Raw genomic sequence first — 27,594 nt, forward strand, 5'->3', positions numbered from 1 at the left:
GGGGTTGCTTCTGCCAGCCCAGAAGGTTCATAGGAATCTAGTGATTCAAGAATCTCCATCTTGCCCCATCCAACAGCCTCACAAAAGGTCTTAGAATGCCTGTCTTTTTCTATTAGAGACCTGATTTTGACATAGGAGACCTGTTCAGGCTGTATATTCAGTGCAGTCTGCTCTATTATCACAGAACAACAGTTTCTTTACAAGCTGCAATAAAGGTCTTTGGGCTTCAACTGGCATTTGGTTTTCTTTAGCCTATCATTCTTTTATATCAAAGATTTTAATGCTGTTAACAATAGCCAGGTCACTTCCCGACTCTTGTATTCTCTTTACACTATACCATTAAAGAGCAACTGCCATTGTAAAACCCAGCATCTCACCTTCTATCTCAAGTTTTTCTTATTTTGCTGTAGACTAAATCCTTAGTAATTGTGATTCCAATATATGCATGAGCTATCATCACCAAATACCATCAGCAAATGAATCTTTATTGCCAGTGGACTCAGGTTGTAACCTGAGTTCCCCAGAGGGCAAAGCCTGAAGCCTGGAACTTTTATTGAAATGTTTAATCCCAGGGAGAGGGAGGGAGGGAAATGAGAAGAAAGATAGAAATAAGGGCACACCAATAAAATAATGTATCATTTAGCTGGCCACTGCTTTGGATCAAATGCAACAGAGTGGTTGATTTCATTGGTATCCTTTTTCCAGGAGGCCACATAAACAACTGCTTCTCAGTATGGTCTATTCTTAGAAGAAGGGAGAACATGTATCTATCAGCTCCTGTATCCCATAGGTCACCCCACAGCTGCCTTTCATTGGTTCAACTCACAGGGTTTAACTCACACACATCTAGCTTGTGCATGTGAGGACTCAGAAAGAGCCCTAAGATATCTCATGCTTTAGTGTGAACCAAGAAGCTACAGGTATAAGGCAAAATGTATGCAGCACAGACATGCAATGGGACAGTCTCAGGTTGTACCTTTGTGAAGTTGGCTGTAGCTCATGCAGAACTGGGTTGTCTTAGCAATTAAAACAACTGGTAAGAGTCTAAAGCAGAAAAGAAAGGATATATTATAAGGGTCTGGAATATAGATCAAAATTATGAACTAAAGATCATATTGGGGGCTAAAGGTAAGACTATCCAGTACAGTTTGATCATTCTTAGTTATATAGATATGGATGATTGATAGATGATAGATAGATGGATAGATAGATCAATCTATTCATGTATTTTTATTTGGATTTTCAATGTGTGTATTAGGATGATAATTAAAAATGATAATTTCTATACATATGTATATATTTTTATAGAGGTACCAACCTTTTTATTTTAAAATAACATTAAATCTGCCTTTCGAGAAGAAAAGTAAAACTTGTGTTTTGCTATCTATTATTATACATATGCACACCCACAACACACACACAGACACACACACACAGAGGCAGAGATCTACAATCTTCACTAAAACATTAAAATGTGCAAGTATTTTAAAAATAAATAGGATGTGAACCATTTATATTTTTCTATAGATATCATCCTATATATCTTGGGTGCATAGACTATAAAGTAAAAAAAAAAGCACTTCTTTATTTAAGACATGTTTAATTGGAGAAACACCCAAAAATATCTAGATACAGAGGTATTCAGCAAAATACACTCAAATGTGAGGGGGTGTGCATATACACATGCATATGTTTGTATACTTCTTTGATAGGCCTTATTCTCCCACCACTCCTATGTTTCAAACAGCTCTAACAATTCAAATAGAGGTCCAGCCCAGTTCTGATAATTTATAGATAATTGTAAATGGTATTATAAGTAAAGATCATTACTGATTTTTGTATAAGTAAAGCTTGATGGCATAAATACTGTGCATGAATGTAGAATAATACTGTCCAAAGTATAGTACATTTTAAAAATTGTATGTGTGTGTGTGTGTGTGTGTATTAGATTTGTGTTGTATTGGAACATAAAATAATAAGTTTCTATTTTTTACAGATAAATATATCAGGAAAAGAATACATGATGTGTATGTGGGAAAACAGTTGAAAAAGTAGACTAATGAATGTTAATAAATTATTTGGAAAAAAGTATTAAAAGCTAAAAGGGTTACATTTATAACATCTTTAGCCTACATAACTCTTTGTGAATATATATACCTACATAAGTGGGAACACCAAACTATCTACTCTTGAACAGTTACAATTCTGTACAAAATCATATTCTTATAGATTTATAGGAAACTACAAATAGACTGCTGATTAAATATTCCACGTGTAGGTTAGAGATTCAAGACCACCTTAGGCTCAAGGTGGTATTGAGTTCTCTTTTCCTGGGGTGTTGCCTCTGGGTTCATGTGGTGGCTCAGCACATTGTTAGTGTGATTCTTTCCCATCCTAGATCCCTGTTATGGGACCATATAATTTCCTCATCATTATATTTTTTTTTAGATAAATTGGATTCCACAAAATCCTCTGAAGGAAAATGTAAAAACCTCTGCAACAAATTTAAACAAAAATTGAGAGTTTACTACAACCAAGATAATCAGAGCCAAATGTTTAATTACTGGTGCTCACCAGCTATTAATCAGTGATGCTGGTATTAAGAAAGAACCCATCCCTTTCAGTAAGTTCGCCAACTGTATGATTTTTCATTACACCCAAATTTCTTACCCCTTAATATTAACTCCAGAGATCTTGCTCTTTCAACTGGGTGTGCTACAAAGCCCATTACTAAATCATTACATGATGCAGTTGGGCACCAGCAAGAATTCATGTTATTAGACACTGGGATTAAATGGCACATCATTTAAAATTGAAACATTTGAGAATTCCTTTCATTTTTTCTTTTCTTTTATTATTCTAATATATAATATTTCTAATATTTAATATTCATAACCCAGAACTGCAGATGAACAATTATATGTAAGTGATTTCTCCCCACATTTCCTAACATACCACCATTCACACAGAGTCCCACAATATGTTTGAGCTAATTTTTATACGGTGATTTTTGAGCGGATGAAAAAAGCTTTTTTAATGGGGGTGTTTATATGAAGGATATAACAGCAAGACACGATTACAATATGAAGAAATTGTGATCATACTTTGATCATCTTACCTTCTCTCCAGCAAATATCTCTGATTTCCTGCAAGAATTCTAATTAAATTAATCTATCATTACTCACTATTAAATACATTATCTGCAAAGCATACTGTTATAGATGTTGGAACACCGCCCATTCCCTGTGGTTCCTCTTTTAAAAAAAAAAAAAAATCCTCCCTCCTACTCTGGGTAGTATAATAATTTATTTTATGTAAGTTCTAATTCTTTTCATTGGGCAACATTTTTTCGGGGGGGGGGGTGGGAAATCCAATGATTAGCAGAAGAACCAATAGTACGGAAAAACCCAACCATCCCAACCATTCTTAAGTACTGGGTGTTCACTATCTTGTGCAACTTTTTCACTCCAGATTGCTTCATTATTTCTAGTTATTTATTCTTCCTTGAGATCTGGCTAAACTCTTTGCCCCCAGCCCTCCTATATATGGATGGCATTCTCTCTATGTAATATCCCACCTTGCAAATCAAACTTAGACCCTCTCCCTCTTTCCTATGGTTTCTTCAGCTTCATAATGGTGATTGTTTTATGCTTTTCTGTTTGAGTTTAACATTTTCCTCCCTACATATGTAAGTATTTTTAAGCATTTGTATTTATTTAATCTTAATTCAAGTGGAAATCTTATTGAGAGAACAAGAGTCTATTCCCTACTACTGAATGATGATAAAGAATGAAGACAACATCCCTTCATGAAAGATTGAAAGAGCCCTTACTATGGACTAGGCACTAAATTAGGCATCTTCACATACACAGTATGTCATTTAGACTTAACATCACAAATATAGGAGCAGGCATCATTATGCACATGTGGTAATTTCAGAGAGAATAGTACTTTCCCTAAGATCAGAGTAATCGCTGACTAGCATGAAGATTTTAGCCTAGTCTTCCAATTAAGTCTTATGCTTTTATATCAACAATGTGGTTTCCTAGTACTCACAGTAATCCTAAGCAGATAATGCATGTTAATTATATTCCAAAGACTTTCGCTGAGTCCCTATCAAAAGTTTCTTCTACCAATAGAAACCTCAGAATACCATGGATTCTGAGGATAGGATTTAAAGCAATAGCAACTTTGTTACTACATTTTTTGCTACTTCACTCCCACATTAGCATTATCAAAGTATCCTTATGAACAAATCTGGCTTCATAAAAATGACATTGTAGTTACACTTGCTTGGTTGTTGAACAGCAGTTACAGTATAATTAGTGCCACTTAATGGAAAGCGTTACTGAAGTGCATATCGTTATTAATCAAACTCCAATATAAAGCTGGCTACAGTAATAATGAGTGCAATTATGGGCTGATGAACTGTTAAACTTGAAAACTGACCCTAACCAAATTTTCTTTCTTCAGAAAGTAATAAAACTCAAAGTGCTGGAAATCACTTTATTTCTCTGGGCTTTCTTGCCACAAAAACAACCTGGGAGATATTTTCTCATGCTCCTTGTTTTATAATTTCATGCACACTGAAGCTTGTAAAGTGGTGTGAGGATTGGAAAATGTGACCCTGAAGATAGGGTCAACTCTAATCTGAACCTGACAAGATTTGATTCAGCCCAGACTCATTACCTACCAGACAATGTGGAATTTTATCCAACTACTTTGTAGAGTTTCACACACACCAAAATCAAACAAAAAATGTCCATTGAGTCTGAATTAGCTAGCAGGCAAATTCAGGTTCATGATAAAATACTTGTTCCTTTAAAAGTATTTAAAAAATCCCTACAGGCTTATGTAAGATGAGAGTCTGGATCCCAGTTGGGCTTCTCTAAATCTTGCAATGGCTATTTGACAAACCTTTAATGGCATCTGCATTTCTTACTATTGGAAACCATGTTTAAAGTTTACATAATATTTGGCATGTTTAAAGCATGGTTTATTACCTTGTCTTTTAATATTTGGTGTTTTAGCTCCACAAATATTTCTACGTATACTCCTTTATAAACAAAATAGCCTTCCTTGTTCCCAGTAGTGATTCGAATGTCTTTTCACTCTTAAGACTTCCTAAACATTTTCCGCAGGTGCATGAGCTAGCTATCTCACATCATCTGATCACTGAGGGGGAAAATTCCTACTCTGACCCACAGGTGTGCATTTATATATGCTGTCAGGATTGAAAATTTTATCAAGTTAATAAATACTAATGAAGAGAATTGGAACAAATTTGCTAAATTTGCCAAATAAGGCACCCCAGAGCTATGTCTAACAACGTGTACCCTGACAGATGTGAACTGAGGTTGAAACACTTGAAAAACACAGAAAGGGAAGGAACAAAGAGAAAGAGAATTAAAGCCTAAAAATAATTGCACAATCTATTGAAGACAGGCATGAAAACGATCCTAAAATGGAAGGAGATATGTAGAAAAGGAAACTTGAGAGTGTTCTGTTACTGTTACTCCCACTGATAGCTAAAGAATTCAACCAAACTCTTTACCATGCACTCATACAGCCTTCTGTCGTTTGGCACTAAGCTCATGTTTCAGTCCTTTTTCTCACATCAAGGCAAGTGCATGTTATTGGATTGATAAATATGCCTTATGTTATGCTTTTCTTGCTTCATTATCACACATTATTATAAATGTCTTTTCAGCAACATTTTTGAATTGGGTTTATACCTGTTATCTTGAAGGTTCTGCAAGGAGAGGGGGGATGGTTAGGGGAGAAAAGGGCAGAACCATGAGGGAAGAGAATTCAGCTAAATTTCCCTGATTCAGTCTCCTTTTAACAACTCTCACTATGCCTCAGCATAATCAATAATTCCAAATGCATTCACCAATAATTTTCTCTATCTAGTAGACTCAAATGGACACCATTTCCTTACTGGATCAAGAAATAGATAAAAAGCCTAGCTAAATTACAACTATCACAATGTAGTTATTTTTCTGTCATGTTTCAAAATATGTTTTCCACTTTTTATATTGAGTTACTTTGACTCTTGACTCTAAAGTTATTCCCAGACAGAAAACTTCCATTCATATAAATACATTATATATATATGTGTGTGTGTATGTGTGTGTACTCACACACACATACACATGTACACACAATAGAATTGGAAACATATATATGTGTTTTATATATATTGAGAGAGAATTGAAAATATATATATATACACACACACACATACATATGTATACACACACACACACACAGCTGTTTCCTTTCTTCATGTTGAAGGGGAGGGCTACTTGTACATTATCATAATTCTTTAACTAAACTGGAATATACTATATACATAAGATTCAATTACCTCCTACTGTGTCCCTTCCACAACACGTGGGAATCATGGGAGCTACAAGATGATATTTGGTTGGGGACACAGCCAAACCATACCACCTAGGATTAAAAAAAGTAAAGCCAAAAGCAATGGTTCAACTGATATGGTTGTGTTTAAGGATTCAAATAAATGGTGATTATTAATCTCATACATCAAGCTTCCATTTACTTATTTAACTTATTATTTTCCCAACATTTCCATGCTAATTTTAATGAACTCTTCTAGCCTCCCAAGTTTGAGGCTTGTCAAGAGAGCACAAGATGAATAACTTTTACTCCACTCTCAAAAGTAAATACAAAAATGGAAGGAAAGTGATAGGAATGTATCAAAGAGAAAGTGACAGTATGATAGTCACCAAACTTTAAGTATCCCAAAAAACACTGGATATACTAAGAGAAAATAAACAGATGATTGTACTTCATTAAGTGTAACAAATCCAAGACAGCTCATTCATTTTCCTTCCCACAAAGGATCTCTTTTCTTTACTAAGACTGATAAGAAGGGAAAATATGAGCTGAGCTCATCCTTTTCTAACTGCATTAAAAACTCAGCATATGTTGTTCAGATAAAATATAAAGTACGCTAAAAGATTCATATGTATGGTAAAAGGATTAGCCATTTCACTTACTCCTATAACTAAAAAAGTTGTGTGTATATGTGTATGTCTGTGCGTGTGTTAGATTTACTCTTCTATATGTCAATATTTATCACATTTAACTATTACAATAAAGCATATTATATTATACTGCAAGGATAAGATTGATTCTATAGCAGGAGCTTGAGAAGGTACATATCAGAAACTCTGAAATGTGGGCCTTGCAAAAAATAATGGCTCACAGGGCCATTATAATGATTTCTATTAACAATTCCAATTCTATACACACTCTTTTCTTTCCTTCATGTTGAAGAGAAGGGCTACTTGTAGATCACTGAAATTCCTTTACTGAACTCAAAGAACTAGAAAGTGTTTCAAAAATCATGTGATCTGACTTTGTTTGTATGAAGGAAATGATTAGAGAGTGAAGTTACAGGCAATGCCCTAAGTCTACTCTTAGTTATTGCCACAGTAGGGCTGGAAACCGTGTCTTCTGGAGCCTGCTTCAGAGTATTCTCCACCACTGAAAAAATTATTAGTTATATTGCACATATGTTATTTGCCTTAAAAGCGTTCTTTGTAAGATTGCTTTAAGCAACAAAATTTTACATTACATTTAAAAGTCAGTTTAATACGTGCATATTCAACTCTCACAAGAGCAATATGATCTAGGCAGTGTGGCCAAGGGAACTGGCCACTGGGTGTTGGAAGACTTAAGAATTCACCCAGGCTTTGCCAGTAAATAACTTGGAATTGATCTTCAATATATCTTGGCCTCAGTTTCCTGAGATGAAAAATTACAGATCTATGTTCCATTACACTGATATCCATCCAGTTGGATTTATGTCATTGTTTATCTAAACTTTTCAGTTAACTATTTCTTAAAGATAAAACTCTAACTAAAACTAAAAGCTCAATCAAAATAAAAAATATTAAAGAAACTTACACTGAGAATTTTTACATGAAGTTGATAATTATTCTATTAATTAACTGTGATATTTATGTACTTTCAGTCAAACATGATAATTTTTATAGCAGTAGAATTAACTGTTCTAAAAAATTTTGATGACCTTTCTATGAATCACGGTTACCTTTCCCTCTCATAAAATATCCATGGACATTCAGGACAAAGATTGCCCTTAAATTTTTAGCCTTTGCACCTTAGAAAGAATGCAAATACTGAACTATTGCAAAAATATACTCAAGTAAGATTGCAATGTAAAACCACAATTTCCCAAAATGCCCTGCCTATCTTTAAAATATTTTAAATTGTTTGCAGTTTAAGTGCTAGCTCATTTGGTTTACAATACCTCCTAAATTTTCCATTCCTATGAAGATCATTTAAAATCTTTATTTTCAAATGTCTTTTGGGAACACCTACATTTTGCTCATTATTTGTGGGGGTTTTTTGGTTATTAATACAGGCATTTAATGTAAGATTCTACATGCCATATTTCTGTTTCATTTGCTTTATATAAAATAACCTTTTCTACTTCTCTAATACAGAAAACAAGCCACAAGTGTTTCTTCATTTCCTTGGCTTCAAAATAATTGCCTGAGATACCTACAAAAAATATTCCTGCTAGTTAATGTCGCAGGTTGTCTTTTATCAATGCAAGCCCCGTTGAGTTGTAAATGTACTAGTGCTGTGAGAAAATCAGATTAAATCATTTGTTCTTTAGCTGTGTTTCACAATTTTATTGTCTGATAATCCAGGAAGTCATTAATTTGATATAACCCAAATTATCTTGAACTATGCTTTTAAAACTTGTTATCCAGCAGCTACTAATATTTTGTCTGTGTTTATCTTCACAAGTTTAAACTGTAGAAAGTTTATTTCAGTTTTCCCATGTAAAACTGAATTACACTACTGACTATATTACTAAATATATTCTTTTAAAGTAAGCATGCACTACATGTTCACAGAAATTATAATGCAGACAGGCAGTAAAATCACTGCTCTGCAGTTTACTTTTCCTAAAATATAAAGAAATATAAGCTTCTTTATATCTTCTTCTGTCATGTGAATGCCAGTCTGCTATAGGGAAAACTCTGATAAAAGATTTTTTTTCTATTTTTGAGCAGACCATGCCTCTGTGCTTTCATTGTGTTGCATTATAGCATTTAGTGCCCAGACAGGAAGAATTCTATTGCACTGATTTGAGTTATACAGGTGGGTGTGATTCAGTTTCTTTTATGTTAGTACATCTGGATCTTAATGTGCAACACCTCTGCTTTTTTAGTTCTTTGAATCAGTCTGACAATCACAACCAGGATATGAATCAACCAAGATGGTGAGTTTTTGGATGTGTAAGTAAATAATTATTTTTATTTTCTACCAAAAATATTATTGTATCACTGTTTGCATTTCTTTATACTTATCTACAGAAAACATTCAGAAGAAAAATATAAAATGTATAATTATCTATGTACAATTATTTATGCAAAAATGCCTAGAAAATTTTATTTATTTGGTTTCCTATGCAATTATATTAACACAGGTCAGTTTTCAAGCAAAACTCTCTATTTAGCATTTTTACCAGCTGCTAGTCACTAGTATCTAGTAACCACCTATTATGTTTCCAGCATAACGATTAGGGCTGATAATTAATGGCTAATTAAAAGATCAATCTTCATCTTTATAGGATTACACAAGTTACATCTGTTTTACAAAGTGGAGATCATAATTGTCAGGCCTCTGAGCCCAAGCCAAGCCATCTCATCCCCTGTGACTTGCACGTATATACGCCCAGATGGCCTGAAGTAACTGAAGAATCACAAAAGAAGTGAAAATGCCCTGCCCCACCTTAACTGATGACATTCCACCACAAAAGAAGTGTAAATGGCCGGTCCTTGCCTTAAGTGATGACATTACCTTGTGAAAGTCCTTTTCCTGGCTCATCTTGGCTCAAAAAGCAACCCCACTGAGCACCTTGCAACCCCCACTCCTGCCCACCAGAGAACAAACCCCCTTTGACTGTAATTTTCCTTTACCTACCCAAATCCTACAAAACGGCCCCATCCTTATCTCCCATCGCTGACTCTCTTTTCCGACTCAGCCCGCCTGCACCCAGGTGAAATAAAGTCATGTTGCTCATACAAAGCCCGTTTGGTGGTCTCTTCACACGGACGCGCATGAAATTTGGTGCTGTGACTCGGATCAGGGGACCTCCCTTGGGAGATCAATCCCCTGTCCTCCTGTTCTTTGCTCTGTGAGAAAGATCCACCTACGACCTCAGGTCCTCAGACCAACCAGCCCAAGGAACATCTCACCAATTTTAAATCAGGTAAGCAGCCTCTTCTTACTCTCTTCTCCAACCTCTCTCACTGTCCCTCAACCACTTTCTCCTTTCCATTCTTCAATCTCTCCCTTCTCTTAATTTCAATTCCTTTCATTTTCTGGGAGAGATAAAGGAGACACGTTTTATCCGTGGACCCAAAACTCCGGCGCCGGTCCCCTTCTTCACTCTTAGCAGCAAGTCCCGCTTTTCTAGAGGAGGGGCAAATACCCCAACCTCATATCTCTGCGCCCCAATCCCTTATTTCCGCGCCCCAACCTCTTATATCTCTGAGCCCCAATCCCTTATTTCCACCCCCGACCCCTTATTTCTGCACCCCATCCCTTATTTCCGCACCCCAACCCCTTTTCCCACTTTTCTGGAAGGTAAGAACCCCTGAACCCTTTCCCTCCGTTTCTCTACTCACTCTTTTCTCTAGGCTTGCTTCCTTCACTATGGGCAACCTTCCACCCTCCATTCCTCCTACTCCCTTGGCCTGTGTTCTCCAAAACTTAAAACCTCTTCAACTCACACCTGACCTAAAACCTAAATGCCTTATTTTCTTCTGCAATGCCGCTTGACCCCAATACAAACTCGACTGTACTTCCAAATACCCAGAAAATGGCACTTTGAATTTTTCCATCCTGCAAGAACTAAAGAGTTCTTGTTGTAAAATAGGCAAACGGTCTGAGGTGCCTGACGTCCAGGCATTCTTTTACACATAAGTCCCTTCCTAGTCTCTGTGCCCAGTGCAACTCATCCCAAATCTTCCTTCTTTCCCTCCCGCCTGTCCCCTCAGTATCAACCCCAAGCGTCTCTGAGTCTTTCTAATCTTCCTTTTCTACAGACCCATGCAACCTCTCCCTTCCTCCCCAGGCTGCTCCTCGCCAGGCCAAGCTAGGTCCCAATTCTTCCTCAGCCTCTGCTCCTCCACCCTATAATCTTTTTTATCACCTCCCCTCCTCACACCTGGTCTGGCTTACAGTTTCGTTCCGTGACTAGCCCTCCCCCTCCTGCCCAGCAACTTACTCTTAAAAAGGTGGCTGGAGCTAAAAGCATAGTCAAGGTTAATGCTCCTTTTTCTTCATCCCAAATCAGATAGTGTTTAGGCTCTTTTTCATCAAATATAAAAATCCAGCCCAGTTCATGACTTGTTTGGCGGCAATCCTGAGACACTTCACAGCCCTAGACCCTAAAAGGTCAAAAGGCCGTCTTATTCTCAAAATACACTTTATTACCCAATCTGCTCCCGACATTAAATAAAACTCCAAAAATTGGAATCTGGCCCCCAAGCCCCACAACAGGACTTAATTAACCTCACCTTCAAGGGGTACAATAATAAAAAAAAGTTGCAATTCCTTGCCTCCACTGTGAGACAAACCCCAGCCACATCTCCAGCACACAACAACTTCCAAACGCCTGAACCGCAGCAGCCAGGGGTTCCTCCAGAACCTCCTCCCCCATGAGCTTGCTACAAGTGCCAGAAATCTGACCACCAGGCCAAGGAATGCCTGCAGCCCAGGATTCCTCCTAGGCCGTGTCCCATCTGTGCGGGACCCCACTGGAAATCAGACGGTGCAACTCACCTGGCAGACACTCCCAGAGCCCCTGGAACTCTGGCCCAAGGCTCTCTGACTGACTCCTTCTCGGCTTAGCGGCTGAAGACTGACGCTGCCCAGTCACCTCGGAAGCCCTGTAGACAATCACAGATGCCGAGCTTCGAGTAACTCTCACAGTGGAGGGTAAGTGCATCCCCTTCTTAATCAATACGGAGGCTACCCACTCCATATTACCTTCTTTTCAAGGGCCTGTTTCCCTTGCCTCCATAACTGTTATAGGTATTGACGGCCAGGCTTCTAAACCTCTTAAAACTCCCCAACTCTGGTGCCAACTTAGGCAATACTCTTTTAAGCACTCCTTTTTAGTATCCCCACCTGCCCAGTTCCCTTATTAGGCTGAGACACTTTAACTAAATTATCTGCTTCCCTGACTATTCCTGGACCACATCTATATCTCATTGCTGCCCTTCTTCCCAATCCAAAGCCTCCTTTGCATCCTCCTCCTGTATCCCCCCACCTTGACCCACAAGTATAAGATACCTCTACTCCCTCCTTGGCGACCGATCATGCACCCCTTACCTAAAACCTAATCACCCTTACCCCACTCAATGCCAATATCCCATCCCGCAGCATGCTTTAAAAAGATTAAAGCCTGTTATCACTCGCCTGCTACAGCATGGCCTTTTAAAGCCTATAAACTCTCCTTACAATTCCCCCATTTTACCTGTCCTAAAACCAGACAAGGTTTACAAGTTAGTTCAGGATCTGCGCCTTATCAACCAAATTGTTTTGCCTATCCACCCTGTGGTGCCAAACCCATATACTCTCCTATCCTCAATACCTGCCTCTACAACCCATTATTCTGTTCTAGATCTCAAACATGCTTTCTTTACTATTCCTTTGCACCCTTAATCCCAGCCTCTCTTCGCTTTCACTTGGACTGACCCTGACACCCATCAAGCTCAGCAAATTACCTAGGCTGTACTGCTGCAAACCTTCACAGACAGCCCCCATTACTTCAATCAAGCCCAAATTTCTTCCTCATCTGTTACCTATCTCGGCATAATTCTCATAAAAACACACGTGCTCTCCCTGCCAATCGTGTCCGACTGATCTCTCAAACCCCAGCACCTTCTACAAAACAACAACTCCTTTCCTTCTTAGGCATGGTTAGCATGGTCAGAATTCTTACACAAGAGCCAGGACCACACCCTGTAGCCTTTCTGTCCAAACAACTTGACCTTACTGTTTTAGCCTAGCCCTCATGTCTGCGTGCAGCGGCTGCCGCAGCTTTAATACTTTTAGAGGCCCTCAAAATCACAAACTATGCTCAACTCACTCTCTACAGTTCTCATAACTTCCAAAATCTATTTTCTTCCTCATACCTGACACATACACTTTCTGCTTTCTGGCTCCTTCAGCTATACTCACTCTTTGTTGAGTCTCCCACAATTACCGTTGTTCCTGGCACAGACTTCAATCTGGCCTCCCACATTATTCCTTATACCACACCTGACCCCCATGACTGTATCTCTCTGATCCACCTGACATTCACCCCATTTCCCCAGATTTCCTTCTTTCCTGTTCCTCACCCTGATCACACTTGATTTATTGATGGCGATTCCACCAGGCCTAATCGCCACACACCAGCAAAGGCAGGTTATGCTATAGTACAAGCCACTAGCCTGCCTCTTAGAACCTCTCATTTCCTTTCCATCGTGGAAATCTATCCTCAAGGAAATAACTTCTCACTGTCCCATGTGCTATTCTACTACTCCTCAGGGATTATTCAGGCCCCCTCCCTTCCCTACACATTAAGCTCGAGGATTTGCCCCACCCAGGACTGGCAAATTAGCTTTACTCAACATGCCCTGAGTCAGATAACTAAAATACCTCTTAGTCTAGGTAGATACTTTCACTGGATAGGTAGAGGCCTTTCCTACAGGGTCTGAGAAGGCCACCGCAGTCATTTCTTCCCTTCTGTCAGACATAATTCCTACAGTCTGATAACAGATGAGCCTTTATTAGTCAAATCAGCCAAGCAGTTTTTCAGGCTCTTAGAATTCAGTGAAACCTTTATATCCCTTACGGTCCTCCGTCTTCAAGAAAAGTAGAATGGACTAAAGGTCTTTTAAAAACACACCTCACCAAGCTCAGCCACCAACTTAAAAAGGACTGGACAAAACTTTTACAACTTTCCCTTCTCAGAATTCAGGCCTGTCCTCGGAATGCTACAGGGTACAGCCCATTTAAGCTCCTGTATAGACGCTCCTTTTTATTAGGCCCCAGTCTCATTCCAGACACCAGACCAACTTAGACTGTGCCCCCAAAAAACTTGTCATCCCTACTATCTTCTGTTTAGTCATACTCCTGTTCGTTCTCAACTACTCATACATGCCCTGCTCTTGTTTACACTGCCGGTTTACACTGTTTTTCCAAGCCATCACAGCTGATATCTCCTGGTGCTATCCCCAAACTGCCACCCTTAACTCTTGAAGTAAATAAATAATCTTTGCTGGCAGGACTGCTGAATCTCCTTAGGCACTCTAATCAGATATCCTGAGTCATCCCAATTCTTAGACCTTTTATACTTGTTTTTCTCCTTCTGTTATTCCATTTAGTTTCTCAATTCATCCAAAACCATATCCAGGCCATCACCAATCATTCTATACGACAAATGTTTCTTCTAACATCCCCACAATATCACCCCTTACCACACGACCTCCCTTCAGCTTATTCTCTCCCACTCTAGGTTCCCACGCCGCCCCTAATCCCGCTTGAAGCAGCCCTGAGAAACATCACCCATTCTCTCTCCATAACACCCCCCCAAAATTTTCACCACCCCAACACTTCAACGCTATTTTGTTTTATTTTTCTTATTAATATAAGAAGGCAGGAATGTCAGGCCTCTGAGCCCAAGCCAAGCCATCGCATCCCCTGTGACTTGCACCTATATGCCCAGATGGCCTGAAGTAACTGAAGAATCACAAAAGAAGTGAATATGCCCTGCCCTACCTTAACTGATGACATTCCACCACAAAAGAAGTGTAAATGGCCAGTCCTTGCCTTAAGTGATGACATTACCTTGTGAAAGTCCTTTTCCTGGCTCATCCTGGCTCAAAAAGCACCCCCACTGAGCACCTTGCGACCCCCACTCCTGCCCCCCAGAGAACAAACCCCCTTTGACCGTAATTTTCCTTTACCTACCCAAATCCTATAAAACGGCCCCACCCTTATCTCCCATCGCTGACTCTCTTTTCCGACTCAGCCCGCCTGCACACAGGTGAAATAAACAGCCATGTTGCTCACACAAAGCCTGTTTGGTGGTCTCTTCACACGGACGCGCATGAAAATAATCACTTTTATTTACTCCAATTAGATTATTTTAGACTAGTTAAGCTCACAGAAAAAGACTTTCCACATAACTAACAGGAAACCCAAGAAGGGAGAAGGAAGGAAACTTAGTAATCAATAGAGAGAAGAGACAGAAGCTTACTATTAATTGTATAGCAAATAAATATCACATTAATTACAGAAAATAAGTCTGTAATGGGAATAAAATGCTGCATTTAAAAGAAATCAAAACTAAATAAAACCAATGAAGTATTTCTTGGCTTCCTAGCACACTTTCTAATGAACCGTTCACACCTCATGAACAGAAATGCCTCAGCAAGCCCTACTTCTGTTCTATTATACCATTAATAAGTCCAGCATATTGTAGACATTTTGAAGTAAGCAAAGAACACTACTGTGTTCTATTTCACTTTTGAGGTTTTCACACCAAGAATTATCATTTTCATTTTGCCTGTTTTCTCAACTGACCTTGGTGTTAAATTCAATTATTTTTAAAAAATCATATTAATAACAGCATGACCTGAGAAACCAATTTGTGTCCCCAGAACAAAGTGAGATAGTGGAAACATAATCGACTGATGAGGAAAGAAGCATATTATGAAATGAAATTTCAGATTCTTATTTTTGAAACTTGTTCTATTTACAATATAAAAACCATCAGTAGAGAAGATATCACTAAGCTGAATTTTGGGGGCTATCTGAAGGCTGGCAAAATGCAAAAATGTTTATATATGTGGTTATAATATGTCTTATATCACACTAGAATAGCTTCCTCATGCTATTTAGTGGGGAAACCATACTACTCACTCTCTTTCTTCTATATCTCATCCTACTTTAATTTTCTATTTCAGCATTTATTGAGTGGGCAGTGACATGCATAGCAAGATAATAGAAATGGTATTAGAATGCTTTTGTAGGAATTGACTAAAAGAAAGGAGAAATGAATTTTAAATTGGACTGGGGACTCTAATATACACATTTTTAAATTTCTTCCTTGTTGATTACTATGGCTGCTCTAGTATAATATTGTGGTTCTGTAAAAAGAAACACGCTAACTATCCCCTTACTTATTCTGCCAATTACTTTTCGGTGTATACTTGTAATTAAACCCATTTTGGGATTCGTGTCAACCTTCCCTCACAGCGATCAATACTAAATGGTAACAAAGGGAAAGAGACGATATCTGTTGTTAGTAGATTTTTGCCTGTACTTGTACAAATAAGATTAGAAGCTGCATGTAGAGCGAGCTGTGAGTACATGACATTTTCCCAATAACTGTTTTCCATTATTTTGAAGTGTGCATGAAACTCCTGCCACACTGAATCTTCTCAGTCACAGCCACATGTCACTGAGGATTCAGCTTTGGTGGTTCTTCAGCTCTCTGACACAAAGCAACAACTATGTTACCCCCATTCCCTTCCCCGACCCACCACCCAAAAGACTGATGCATTCCAAAAGAATTCCAGAAAGCTGGAAACAAAATAACCTCTTTCAAAACAAATATTTAGTATTATCACAAATTCACAGACAAAAATTCCAATTTTTAAAATCACAAAATCAGATATACTATTGCTTAAAACATGAATTCGGAAATCAGTAAGTTGATGTCCACATAATAAAATATCATCACACAATTCACTGAAAAATGTCTTTTTTATTATATTTTTCTTTCATGAAGACATTTCATGGCTCCAAGTACTTGTTTTTTTGAGAATAAAGTCGCATCACAGAAGATATTCTAAGGTCCTGAATTTTCAGAACACAAAACGGCTGGGAGCATATTCAAGATAGATTTATTCTTTTTAACACTTCAAAAAAAGGTGGAAACTACAATAAAGTAGCTTTACTTTTCAAACAACAGCTGTGTTAAAATACCTACTATGGCTATAGCATAATGTAAAGTCCGTACTCACATTGCAATTATTATCAGAAAACAGTTTACAATTCAAAAACTTTACCATCCTTATTAAATTATCCTGGGTTAAGAGCATAATGTCAGCTCTCTGAAATCTCCGTTTCATTGCTTTTGCTGGTTTTCATAAGACTAACCCTTAGAGGTAGGGATACTTATACATCTTGAATTACAAGGATTTATGCTCTTTTCTCGGTGCCTGAGATTTATATTCATCAGTGTTAAAGGTTGTTAGATGTATAAATCTCTATGGATCAAGATAAGAACATACACTCAAAAGGGATTCCTAAGTACTGTTTGTATTTACCATGAATGTCCTTGTTACTGTGGCTGTGTGATTTGAGTTCATATGCATACATATTAGAAATGTAAAATATTAGATGTCACATTTCTTTCAACTGCTCTTGAAACAGGATAAAAGAAACAAATTAAACGTGAAATCTGTACCCAGGCAAGTGTTCATATTTTCCTTTCATCTGTGTTCTAGCATTTAATTGCAGACACCATTGAACCATACTCATGACACAAGTTGCACTTTGTCACAGAGCTGATGAAGAGAATCATGGAGCTATACATGCCATGATTCCAGGTTAGTTATTCAGCAGGCAACATTGCTGAACTTCATATTTACGTAACAGTTTTCCAACTTGGAGCAGCATGTTTTTTTATTTGAAAAAAAAAAAAGAAAAGAAATTGCTGAAAGATTTCTTGGTTTCTATGAGAGGAACTGCAAAAACACACAATACCTTTTATTTTTTTACATTCTTTTATCATGCTAGCAAAATATAATTCCATTTTCAAGCCAAAACAGTAGCTACTTTTCCCCTTTATTCTTCATAAACTTTCATATTATTATATAACGGTTACAGGACATGATTGCTTCCCACAGAGTATAAAGTGGCTTAGTGGACATCGTAACACACTTTCATGAGCAACTTAGACGTCCTTGTGTTTTCAGTTGTACAGAATAATTTATCTATTCTTCATACATAGGGCTGTCAGATAAAATACAGGATTTCTTGTTAACTGAATTTCAGATAAACAAAGAATAACTTTTTAGCATAGAATATTTCTTTAAATATTTGGACCATATGTATATTTAAAATTGTTTACTTGAAATTCAAATTTAAATGGATGTTCTGTATTTTTATTTGCTAAACCTGGAAACCCTATTCAATAACCTATAATTCTTGAGTGTGAATATTTTAGGTTGTTAATATATAGTTTAGTTTAATTTGGTTTTGTTTTGCTAAATTTCTGTTGCAGTGGAATTCAATGTAAACTTAATAAAGTCATGCAAAATCAAAAATCTAAAAGGACAAACCTGTTTAAATTATTAGAATCTTTTGGTTATCTGAAACAAGGGCAGTTTTAAAAATAATGTCACTTTTCTACTTGAAAGGGACAGTACCATGTGGGAGAATGGAGAGCTCAGGGGACCTATAATGAGATACAGGCCTTTCATTGGTTTGAATATAGCCCTAGGTGGTAGTGACTGAAAGTTTTTGCCATCTGGTACCTGATCAGTGGCTGATGTGAAGTTGTTGATTTCACTTCTTTTTTAAAAAAATCAAGGCAAAAAACAAATGTCTAGAAGAAGAGCAGTTTTACTGTCTACCACACCTTTATAAACTTGACCAAATCATTTCACTTATCTCGCTCCTAATTTCTTCTTGTCTGCCAAAGAAAATATGATAGTAGTCATCTGTATATCTATCCTTTAATTAAAATATCATCTGGTATTATAAGTAAATTTGAAGATAAAACATACTTTAGGCAGTTGTTCCTTCATTTCAATTGGGAATTGGCTACAGGTCTCTATTTGTAGTAAATGGGAATCGTCTGTTCTGAAGATTTTCAAAGAAGTAACCATTAAAATTCTTTAAGAGCCTATTGTGCCCCCAAAGATGAAGGTCAAAATTATTCAATTTGTTATCTGGAAAGGCTCTTAGGAAAGCTCTACTGTACCAGCAAAGCACAAGGCCATTACCTTTCTCTAATATTAATTTTCCACTACCCTCCCCCACTCCATTGTCTTTTATTTCAGTTTTGGTAAAAAAGATGAGCACAGTGATTTCATAAGAAAATCTGAATTTAGAACCCATATCTGCTATTCCATGCCAGGTAACCTTGAAAATGTCATTCGAACTTGCCAAAATGCTAAATAATATAATTCTTGTAACTATTTGTTCCAAGGACTTTTTTTTTCCTGCAAACATTAGAAGGAATACAAACTTCATACCTGTCTTTTAGGAAAATTTACTTGACAGTATGTGAAAAAAGCCTTAAAGTTTCATTTTCCACTTCAGATAGGGTGATGGAGAGGGGGAAAGCAAAAGGAGAAAAATACAGAGACACAAAGAGCCTCATGTTTTCCGGGAGCTGTGAGCAATTCAGAATAGATACGGTTTGAAATATCAAGAGGCAGGGAAAGATTCACCTGGAGGCACTGTAATGGACCACCTCACGGAGGGTGATGTTTGCCATACTAGGGATTTTATACTCTATTTTTCAGACAGTGAGAAGTTTGTTAAGCAATAGTTTAACATCTTCCTTGTGTCTTAGGAACTGTCCAAACGGAGGTGGTTAGATGGGAACATAGCAAGAATTAACACAAAGGGAACTTGAAAAGTTATGGCAATAATCCAGGCCAAAAAAGATGAGAGCTTGAATTAAAGAAACGGTGAAGATGGGGGGAGAGTTGGATATTAAAGCAATTAATGAGATGGATTTAGCTAGGCAGTGACAAGATGGAAGTAGGACAAGAGAGAGAGATGTCCCCTAGGTTTATACCTTGGGTTATTATGTAGACATTTGTGTCATTTAACAGCATTTGGGAATTCATAAATAGACATATTTTTGTAGGGGAAAGACAATGAGTTTTATTTGTAGCCTGTTGGATTTGCCACCATTGCAGGTCTGGAAGGATGAGTTAACCAGTAGTCAGCAATATTATTAAGGTATATAGAGTGGACAGGGCACAACTGAGCTACAGACATGGGTGCAGGAGTTTAACTGGTCAAGGTTCTTAGTTGTAGATCACAAAATCCACTCTAAATAGAAAGAGCAGAAAGAAATCTATTAAGAGTTATGGGGCACCTGCAGAATTAGTGCAGACATGGAGAGCCCATAGTCTAAACTTCCACAGACAATAACCCAAATGACACCAAAAGCCTGGCCCACCAATGAAGTTGCTATATCTGCTAATATCAGAAAGCAATAGAATCAGAAAGCTACCAGCACACCTATCAGATTTAGAAACATGCCAATGCTGATCAAATTCATCACTTCAAAATAGATGCTCTTTGCCTTGCCTTCTGACACCCATGAAGTTAGGGATCAAATATCAAGGCTTCTATCAAAGGCATAGCAACTCTGCTTGACAGAAGATCTATGTAAACATTTATCTCACAACTACCTTACAACTCTCTCACATGGTGCATTTGTTTCACAGGAGCTAGAGCAAATGCCAAGGATTGCAGTGGTCTCTGGGTAACACTGTTTTTAGCTTTCCAGCCTCTAAATAGAGCCTCTTAAATAGGGTTTACAGTGGTGTTCAGTAAATCAATCTGTCACAAGGAAGCATGAAGGTAAAAATGATGTTTAAGGAATCGTAGTGGATAACAGTAAAAGACAACATATGGCATTAGAATAGAAGCAAGCAAACAAGTGACAGAAACCAAAGGAATATCAGTATTTTAAAAGCAGAAGAGAAGGGAGAGGTGAAAGACTCTGAAATGAATCTAAAGGAATCCAAGCAAAAAAAAAAAAAGTAATTGGTGCTTTGGTTATTAAAAGGAGAGACATTTTAAAAAACTTTTTCAAGTTTTATGCAGCTTGCAGGTCTTAAAAGAATCATTATATTTGTCTATTAGTGTGTCTCTGCTAGAAGAGTGTCATTGGAGATATGAGAGCAGAAACCAGAGAGCAGGGGATTAAAGAGTGAATTGGGAGCAATGAAGTAAAGACAGCTTGATTCCAGAGAGGAGAGAGATAAGGTGACAGGTAGAGGGGAGGAAATAAAATAAGAGACAAGAACTCTCACAAGTGGAGAAAGATTTGAGTTTAGGCTTTTCTATGTGAAAGATGCATACAAGAGAAAAAAACAAAAATACAGTGTAACAATAGAATCATTGAAGAAGCCAGGTCCTGCCAAAATCAGGAAGTGATCAAAACAGAAAGGAGGACACTTCTTATGAAATGAGAAGAAAAAAGGTTCAAATGAATGCAGATTTACCTAGGTTTGGGAAAGGGGGTGGGAAATTAAGGGATTTATTATAACATATTTAATGCTCACTGCTGGAAGACATGGCACAGATATAAGTGGCTTAAGCACAGTGCTCATACTTTAGAACACTCCTAAGTGAAATGGAACGGAGACTCAGAGATATGTAAATATACTGACACAGAGCTCAGCTGCTCCAAAGACTCAGCTAAGGATGTGGGCCATAGATTTCTGGTTGCCCAGTCTACATAATGACATGATTTCTCCCACATTGTGGGTGTCATGAAAGCAGATTGTTAGACTGACTCAAAGTTAAGACTTAGCAGAGTAAATGCACAGATAGTCGAGAGAGACAGACGGAGAGGGAGAGATTGAAGGTGCTGATACAAAAGCTTTTATTATTTTAAAAATTAAACATATAACAGCATTTGTTAAGTGAATGATATGTATTGGAGATGATGCTGAGGAATTAATCTTGTGAAAGGTGTCAGAGTTAAAGACACTTGTGTCAAACCTTGACCAAATGGAGCCAAGGAAGGACATGAATGGAGAATTCTCATGCACCAATGCCTGATCATAAGAACTATCACTAAAGACTGCAAAAACTACAAACTTGCACAAAGGTCACCACAACCTTACCAAAAATAGATATTTCTGGGAGGACATCTGCCCAACAACTGCCTGTCCAATCTTGGACTGACAACACCCTTGCTATTGATCACTGTAGCCAAGGATAATTGTTTGAAAAAAAATAACAACTTGTATAATTCTCCTTATTTTTCTTTTAAAAACCTTTGTCTTCTTTTACCTCCCTGAATACACCCAAAATTTACTACTGCACCATGTTCCTTTTGCAAGGCTCATTCTCAAACAAATATTTTGTTTTAGAAAGCCTCTTTTATTTAGGTTGCCAGTCTTAACAACAGCCCTAAGTAAGTAATATTATTACCCCCATTTTACAGTGGAAACAAACAACTAACTTCATCGTATTTTAGGAGGTATGTTATGTCACCTTGGCTAATGTAAATGAGATGCCAAATTAACAAGAGCTTTTTTCTCACTCTGATGTGGAATAAATGTGCAAGATAATATCGCAGTGCTCCTTCACAAATGTGCCAAGGAATCATCTTCCCTCTGTCTTGTTGCTCTGTCATCTTCAAAATATGGTTTCCAACTCATGGTGCCCCATGGTTACTTCTGCCCTCACCATCTTGACCTGATTCCAATTAGCAAGAAGGGAGTAGAAGGAAGGCAGAAACAGAACCATATGGCTGTACCTACAACTGAAGAAGGCTGAGTAGCCCAGCTAAAATTGGACAGTTGTATTACTAAAAGAAGAAAGTAATGATTTATTTGCAAGGAAGGATACTATTCTGAAAACATTTTTGAAAAAAATAGGCTTGAATGAAATATTGAACATTTTTCTTTTTATCCTGATTTCTATAATTTCATGCAATTTACATAAGTATCAATTTATCCCCAACTTTTGAAGGGTGAGGTAGCATCTGTAGAATAAAATAAATAAAAACTAAACTTCTGCCATAACACATTGGGCCAGGCACTTAATCTCCTATTGTATTTTTTTTTTAACTTCGTTTGCTAAATTACAATAAACATAAGCCAAAAATGGGAAAAGGACACTCATTTTTTCAAATGTAAGGTAAATGTTTGTTACTATTCTTCCGTTTATCTAGAGGGAGGTAGGCAAGGGGGGAGTGAGGGGGGGAGAGAAAGAGAGAGAGAGAGAGAGAGAGAGAGACAGACAGACCTGAGGACTCACTTGGACTCATTTTCAATTATTGCTTTATCTGTGTTCTGTTTGGGTGGAGAGAGAAAATCCCTATTCTTTTAATTGGACTATATCCCAGAGCTGTCCCAATTTACTTAAGATGATTCCCAGCACCAAATTGTTCTTACAGTCAGGAAATTGTTCTTGATAATCAGGCCACATTTGTTTTATTCTTGGTTTATATTCACCCTGTGTATAAATCCATCATCTATTTCTTTAATCAACTTTAGTTGTACATCTCTGGACTAGTTTATTGGTATCTTTTGGATCCTAGATGGCGGAATGAATGGAGCTTTTTCTCATTAGTATCACGAGGAGAAGAAACACGTTTCTTTCCATTGGCATTATTTTATTCACTTCATGGAAGCTTTAGTTTTATTTATAATAATAACATAAAAATTCAGATCTATATAAGTAATGTTAGATTTCATTCATCTTTATCATTTTTATGCTGTTATCTGATATGGATTGCATCTGTATCAGATAAAGGTATATACACATTCTATATTATTTAGCTTTGATTTTACCCCACAGTTTCACTTAGTATTGACCATACTGCATTATGGTCAGTGATAACTTAATAGGACAAGTCATTTTTTTCCTTCTAATGTTCATCAGGAAAGGAAACTGCCTATCTACCCAACCTAACATCCATGGTGTCAGGGCATCTGCCTGCCTGACTGATGGCACATTAAATTACACTCTGCCAGGTCTCAGCTTGATATAAACTCTCTGACACTTATCCTGATAGCATGACCCAATACCCAGTTCAGTAATAGTTTTTATCTAATTGAGAAAGAGAGCTAGATGTTTAAAAATCACAATATTAAAATGAATTTTAATTCAACCAGAGGTACCTATGTGCATATAATTTAAAATATCACTGAGGAGGCTTGGTACCCAAGAGAACCTCTTACTAAGAGGAGTTTCAAAACCTGAAAAATCAGTATTGGTTACATAATTTCTCTTTAGACATGAACACTTCACAAATGTTATTTGCTCAATCTCTATTCATAAGGCAAACATAAAGTGATGAAATTAATAATAGCAGTATTGGTAGTTAATACACATAGCACTTCTATGCAGCAAGCACTTCACATATCTTCACAATAGTCTCATGGACATTATTAGTAACTCATTGTAAATATGAGAAAACTGAGGCACAGAGAGATTAAGGAACCTGGCCAAGATTATACAACTAGTGGTGGAGCCATAAATTAAACATACAATCTGGCTCCAGAGTTTGTACCCTTAACCATTATGCTATAGATGTCTAAAGACAAATATGTTTTAACATGCTAGTCTTCTCTCTTTTCTGATTAGCTGGTTGTTAAGAAAAAATGTTGGCAAATAGATGATAATGAAGGGGGCAGTTTAAGACAAGCATCCATGTTACCTCGATGGCAAGGAAGGCAAACAGAAGCACAGAGATAAGATAACCATGAAAGCCACTAAGCCTTCAGCATGAACACTGTCTCCCAACAATTTGATGATCATTCTTCAGGATTTTGTTAATATAAATGCTGTATTTTAATTATTTCCAACATATACGTCTTTGTAGTGATAATAAAATTTCCTATATTTACAATGTTTTTAGAGGTCAATTATTTTTCTTAGTTTCTATTGCTTGCAAAAACTCCCAGTTTAGCACAGGCTGCAAAGTTCCCCAATGTGCTATTCACAGATTCTTTTTGAATCGTTAATAAATGACAAATGTTAAAAATGATCAATCCCAATGCCAGTTTTTGTTGCAAACTTCTAAACACCTCCTACAGTTTTGTGTCATTGCCACTTTATTCTCCGGCTTTATTTATGGTCCAAAATCTAGTTTTGAATCCGTATGACTATTTTCACATCTATTCTACAATTCAGCAAATAATAAAGTGTGGCATCAATTTTTTCCTATAATTGAAACATTAAATATCTATTGCACTTACTTTAGCCTATATTTATTGGAATATCTTTTAAGTTGCAAAAAGAAGAAATGAAAAAAATGTTTGATCACTCATAATATTTACTGAGTGCATATTATTTATATTAAAACATAGCGTTTGGGGCTAATGAAACAACATTATTATAATAGCATGAAAAATGTTGTAGTATTTTATACTTAGGTTCAAGTAATAAAGCATTATGTCCTTAAAATGGTCACTACAACCAGACAAAACTGGTGATGTAAAGCAATATAAAATAAACAGGCCTAACACTACACCCTGAAATGGCAGCAAAAGTCACTAATCACAAGTATTTGATACCTAAAATACTAATACTTTTATATATATATATATAATTATAATAGAATATATATATATTATAAGTTCTGGGATAGCTGTACAGAATGTGCAGGTTTGTTACATGGGTATATATGTGCCATGGTGGTTCGCTGCACCCATCAACCTGTCATCTACATTAGGTATTTGTCCTAATGCTATCCCTCCCATTGCCCTCCACCACCCAACAGGCCCCAGTGTGTGAGATTCCCCTCCCTGTGTCCATGTGTTCTCATTGTTCAACTCTCACTTACGAATGAGAACTTGCAGTGTTTGGTTTTCTGTTTCTGTGTTAGTTTGCTGAGAATGATGGTTTGCAGCTTCATCCATGTCCCTGCAAAGGAAATGAACTCATCCTTTTTTATGGCTGCATAGTATTGCTATGTGCCACGTTTTCTTTATTCAGTCTGTCATTGACGGGCATTTGGGTTGGTTCCAAGTCTCTGCTATTGTAAATAGTGCTACAAGCATGTGTCTTTATAGTAGAACGATTTATAATCCTTTGGGCATATACCCAGTAATGGGATTGCTGGGTCAAATGGTATTTCTGGTTCTAGATCCTCGAGGAATTGCCACACTGTCTTCCACAATGGTTGAACTAATTTACACTCCACCAACAGTGTAAAAGCGTTCTTATTTCTCCACATCCTCTCCAGCAACTGTTGATTCCTGACTTTTTAATGATCGCCATTCTAAATGGCATGAGATGGTCTCTCATTGTGGTTTGGTTTGCATTTCTCTAATGACCAGTGATGATGAGCTTTTTTTCATATGTTTGTCAGCTGCATAAATGTCTTCTTTTGAGAAGTGTCTGTTCATATCCTTCACCCACTTTTTGATTGGGTTGTTTGATTTTTTCTTGTAAACTTGTTTAAGTTTTTTGTAGATTCTGGATATTAGCACTTTGTCAGATGGATAGATTGCAAAATTTTTTCACATTCTGCAGCTCTCCTGTTCACTCTGATGGTAATTTCTTTTGCTATGCAGAAGCTCTTTAGTTTAACTAGATCCCATTTGTCAATTTTGGCTTTTGTTGCCTTTGCTTTTGGTGTCTTAGTCATGAAGTCTTTGCACATGCCTGTCTCATTAATGGTATTGCCTAGGTTTTCTTCTAGGGTTTTTATGGTTTTCGGTCTTACCTTTAATCTTTAATCCATCTTGAGTTAATTTTTGTATAATGTGTAAGGAAGGGGTCCAGTTTCAGTTTTCTGCATATGGCTAGCCAGTTTTCCCAGCACCATTTATTAAATAAGGAATCCTTTCCTCATTGCTTGTTTTTATCAGGTTTGTCAAAGATCAGATGGTTGTAGATGTGTGGCATTATTTCTGAGGCCTCTGTTCTGTACCATTGGTCTATATATCTCTTTTGGTACCAATACCATGCTGTTTTGGTTACTGTAGGCTTGTAGTCTAGTTTGAAGTCAGGTAGCATGATGCCTCCAGCTTTGTTCTTTTTGCTTAGGATTGTCTTGGCTATACAGGCTCTTTTTTGGTTCTATAGGAAATTTAAAGTAATTGTTTCTAATTCTGTGAAGAAAGTCAATGGTAGCTTGATGGGAATAGCATTGAATCTATAAATTACTTTGGGAAGTATGGCCATTTTCACAATATTGATTTTTTTCTATCCATAAGCATGGAATGTTTTTCCATTTGTGTCTTCTCTTGTTTCCTCGAGCAGTGTTTTGTAGTTCTCCCTGAAGAGGTCTTTTACAACCCTTGTAAGTTGTATTCCTAGATAGTTTATTCTCTTTGAAGCAATTATGAATGGAAGTTCACTCATGATTTGGCTCTCTGTTTGTCTATTATTGGTGTATTAGGAATGCATGCGATTTTTACACATTGATTTTGTATCCTGAGACTTTGCTAAAGTTGCTTATTAGCTTAAGGAGTTTTGTGGCTGAGACAATGGAGTTTTCTAAATATACAATCATATCATCTGCAAACAGAGACAATTTGACTTCCTCTCTTCCTATTTGAATACGTTTTATTTATTTCTCTTGCCTGATTGCCCTTGCCAGAACTTCCAATACTATGTAGAATAGGAGTGGTGAGAGAGGGCATCGTTGTCTTGTGCCGGTTTTCAAAGAGAATGCTTCCAGCTTTTGCCCATTCAGAATGATATTGGCTGTGGGTTTGTCATAAATATCTCTTATTATTTTGAGCTATGTTCCATCAATACCTAGTTTATTGAGAGTTTTTAGCATGAAGAGGTGCT

General features: G+C 37.1%; 1 long non-coding RNA gene across 1 annotated transcript in view, besides 2 other annotated features; it reads right to left on the reverse strand.

The window, feature by feature from the left end:
• LINC01950 (long intergenic non-protein coding RNA 1950) overlaps positions 1 to 27,594 on the reverse strand; it is a 195,818-nt gene that overhangs the window by 153,711 nt on the left and 14,513 nt on the right. The window contains exon 2 of the long non-coding RNA NR_104671.1: positions 977 to 1,044. This is a non-coding gene — a long non-coding RNA (long intergenic non-protein coding RNA 1950). The remainder of the gene's footprint in view (positions 1 to 976; positions 1,045 to 27,594) is intronic.
• Positions 9,411 to 10,164: an enhancer, noted in NCBI's record as "OCT4-NANOG-H3K27ac-H3K4me1 hESC enhancer chr5:106314019-106314772 (GRCh37/hg19 assembly coordinates)". NCBI's record gives its function as "activates a minimal SCP1, AML or CMV promoter by ChIP-STARR-seq in naive and primed H9 embryonic stem cells {active_cell/tissue: H9 hESC(naive and primed)}" and the evidence as "EXISTENCE:reporter gene assay evidence [ECO:0000049][PMID:30033119]".
• Positions 14,679 to 15,430: an enhancer, noted in NCBI's record as "OCT4-NANOG-H3K27ac hESC enhancer chr5:106319287-106320038 (GRCh37/hg19 assembly coordinates)". NCBI's record gives its function as "activates a minimal SCP1, AML or CMV promoter by ChIP-STARR-seq in naive and primed H9 embryonic stem cells {active_cell/tissue: H9 hESC(naive and primed)}" and the evidence as "EXISTENCE:reporter gene assay evidence [ECO:0000049][PMID:30033119]".

The sequence above is a fragment of the Homo sapiens genome, chromosome 5 (genome assembly GCF_000001405.40).
Source record: "Homo sapiens chromosome 5, GRCh38.p14 Primary Assembly".
Classification (NCBI taxonomy): domain Eukaryota; kingdom Metazoa; phylum Chordata; class Mammalia; order Primates; family Hominidae; genus Homo; species Homo sapiens.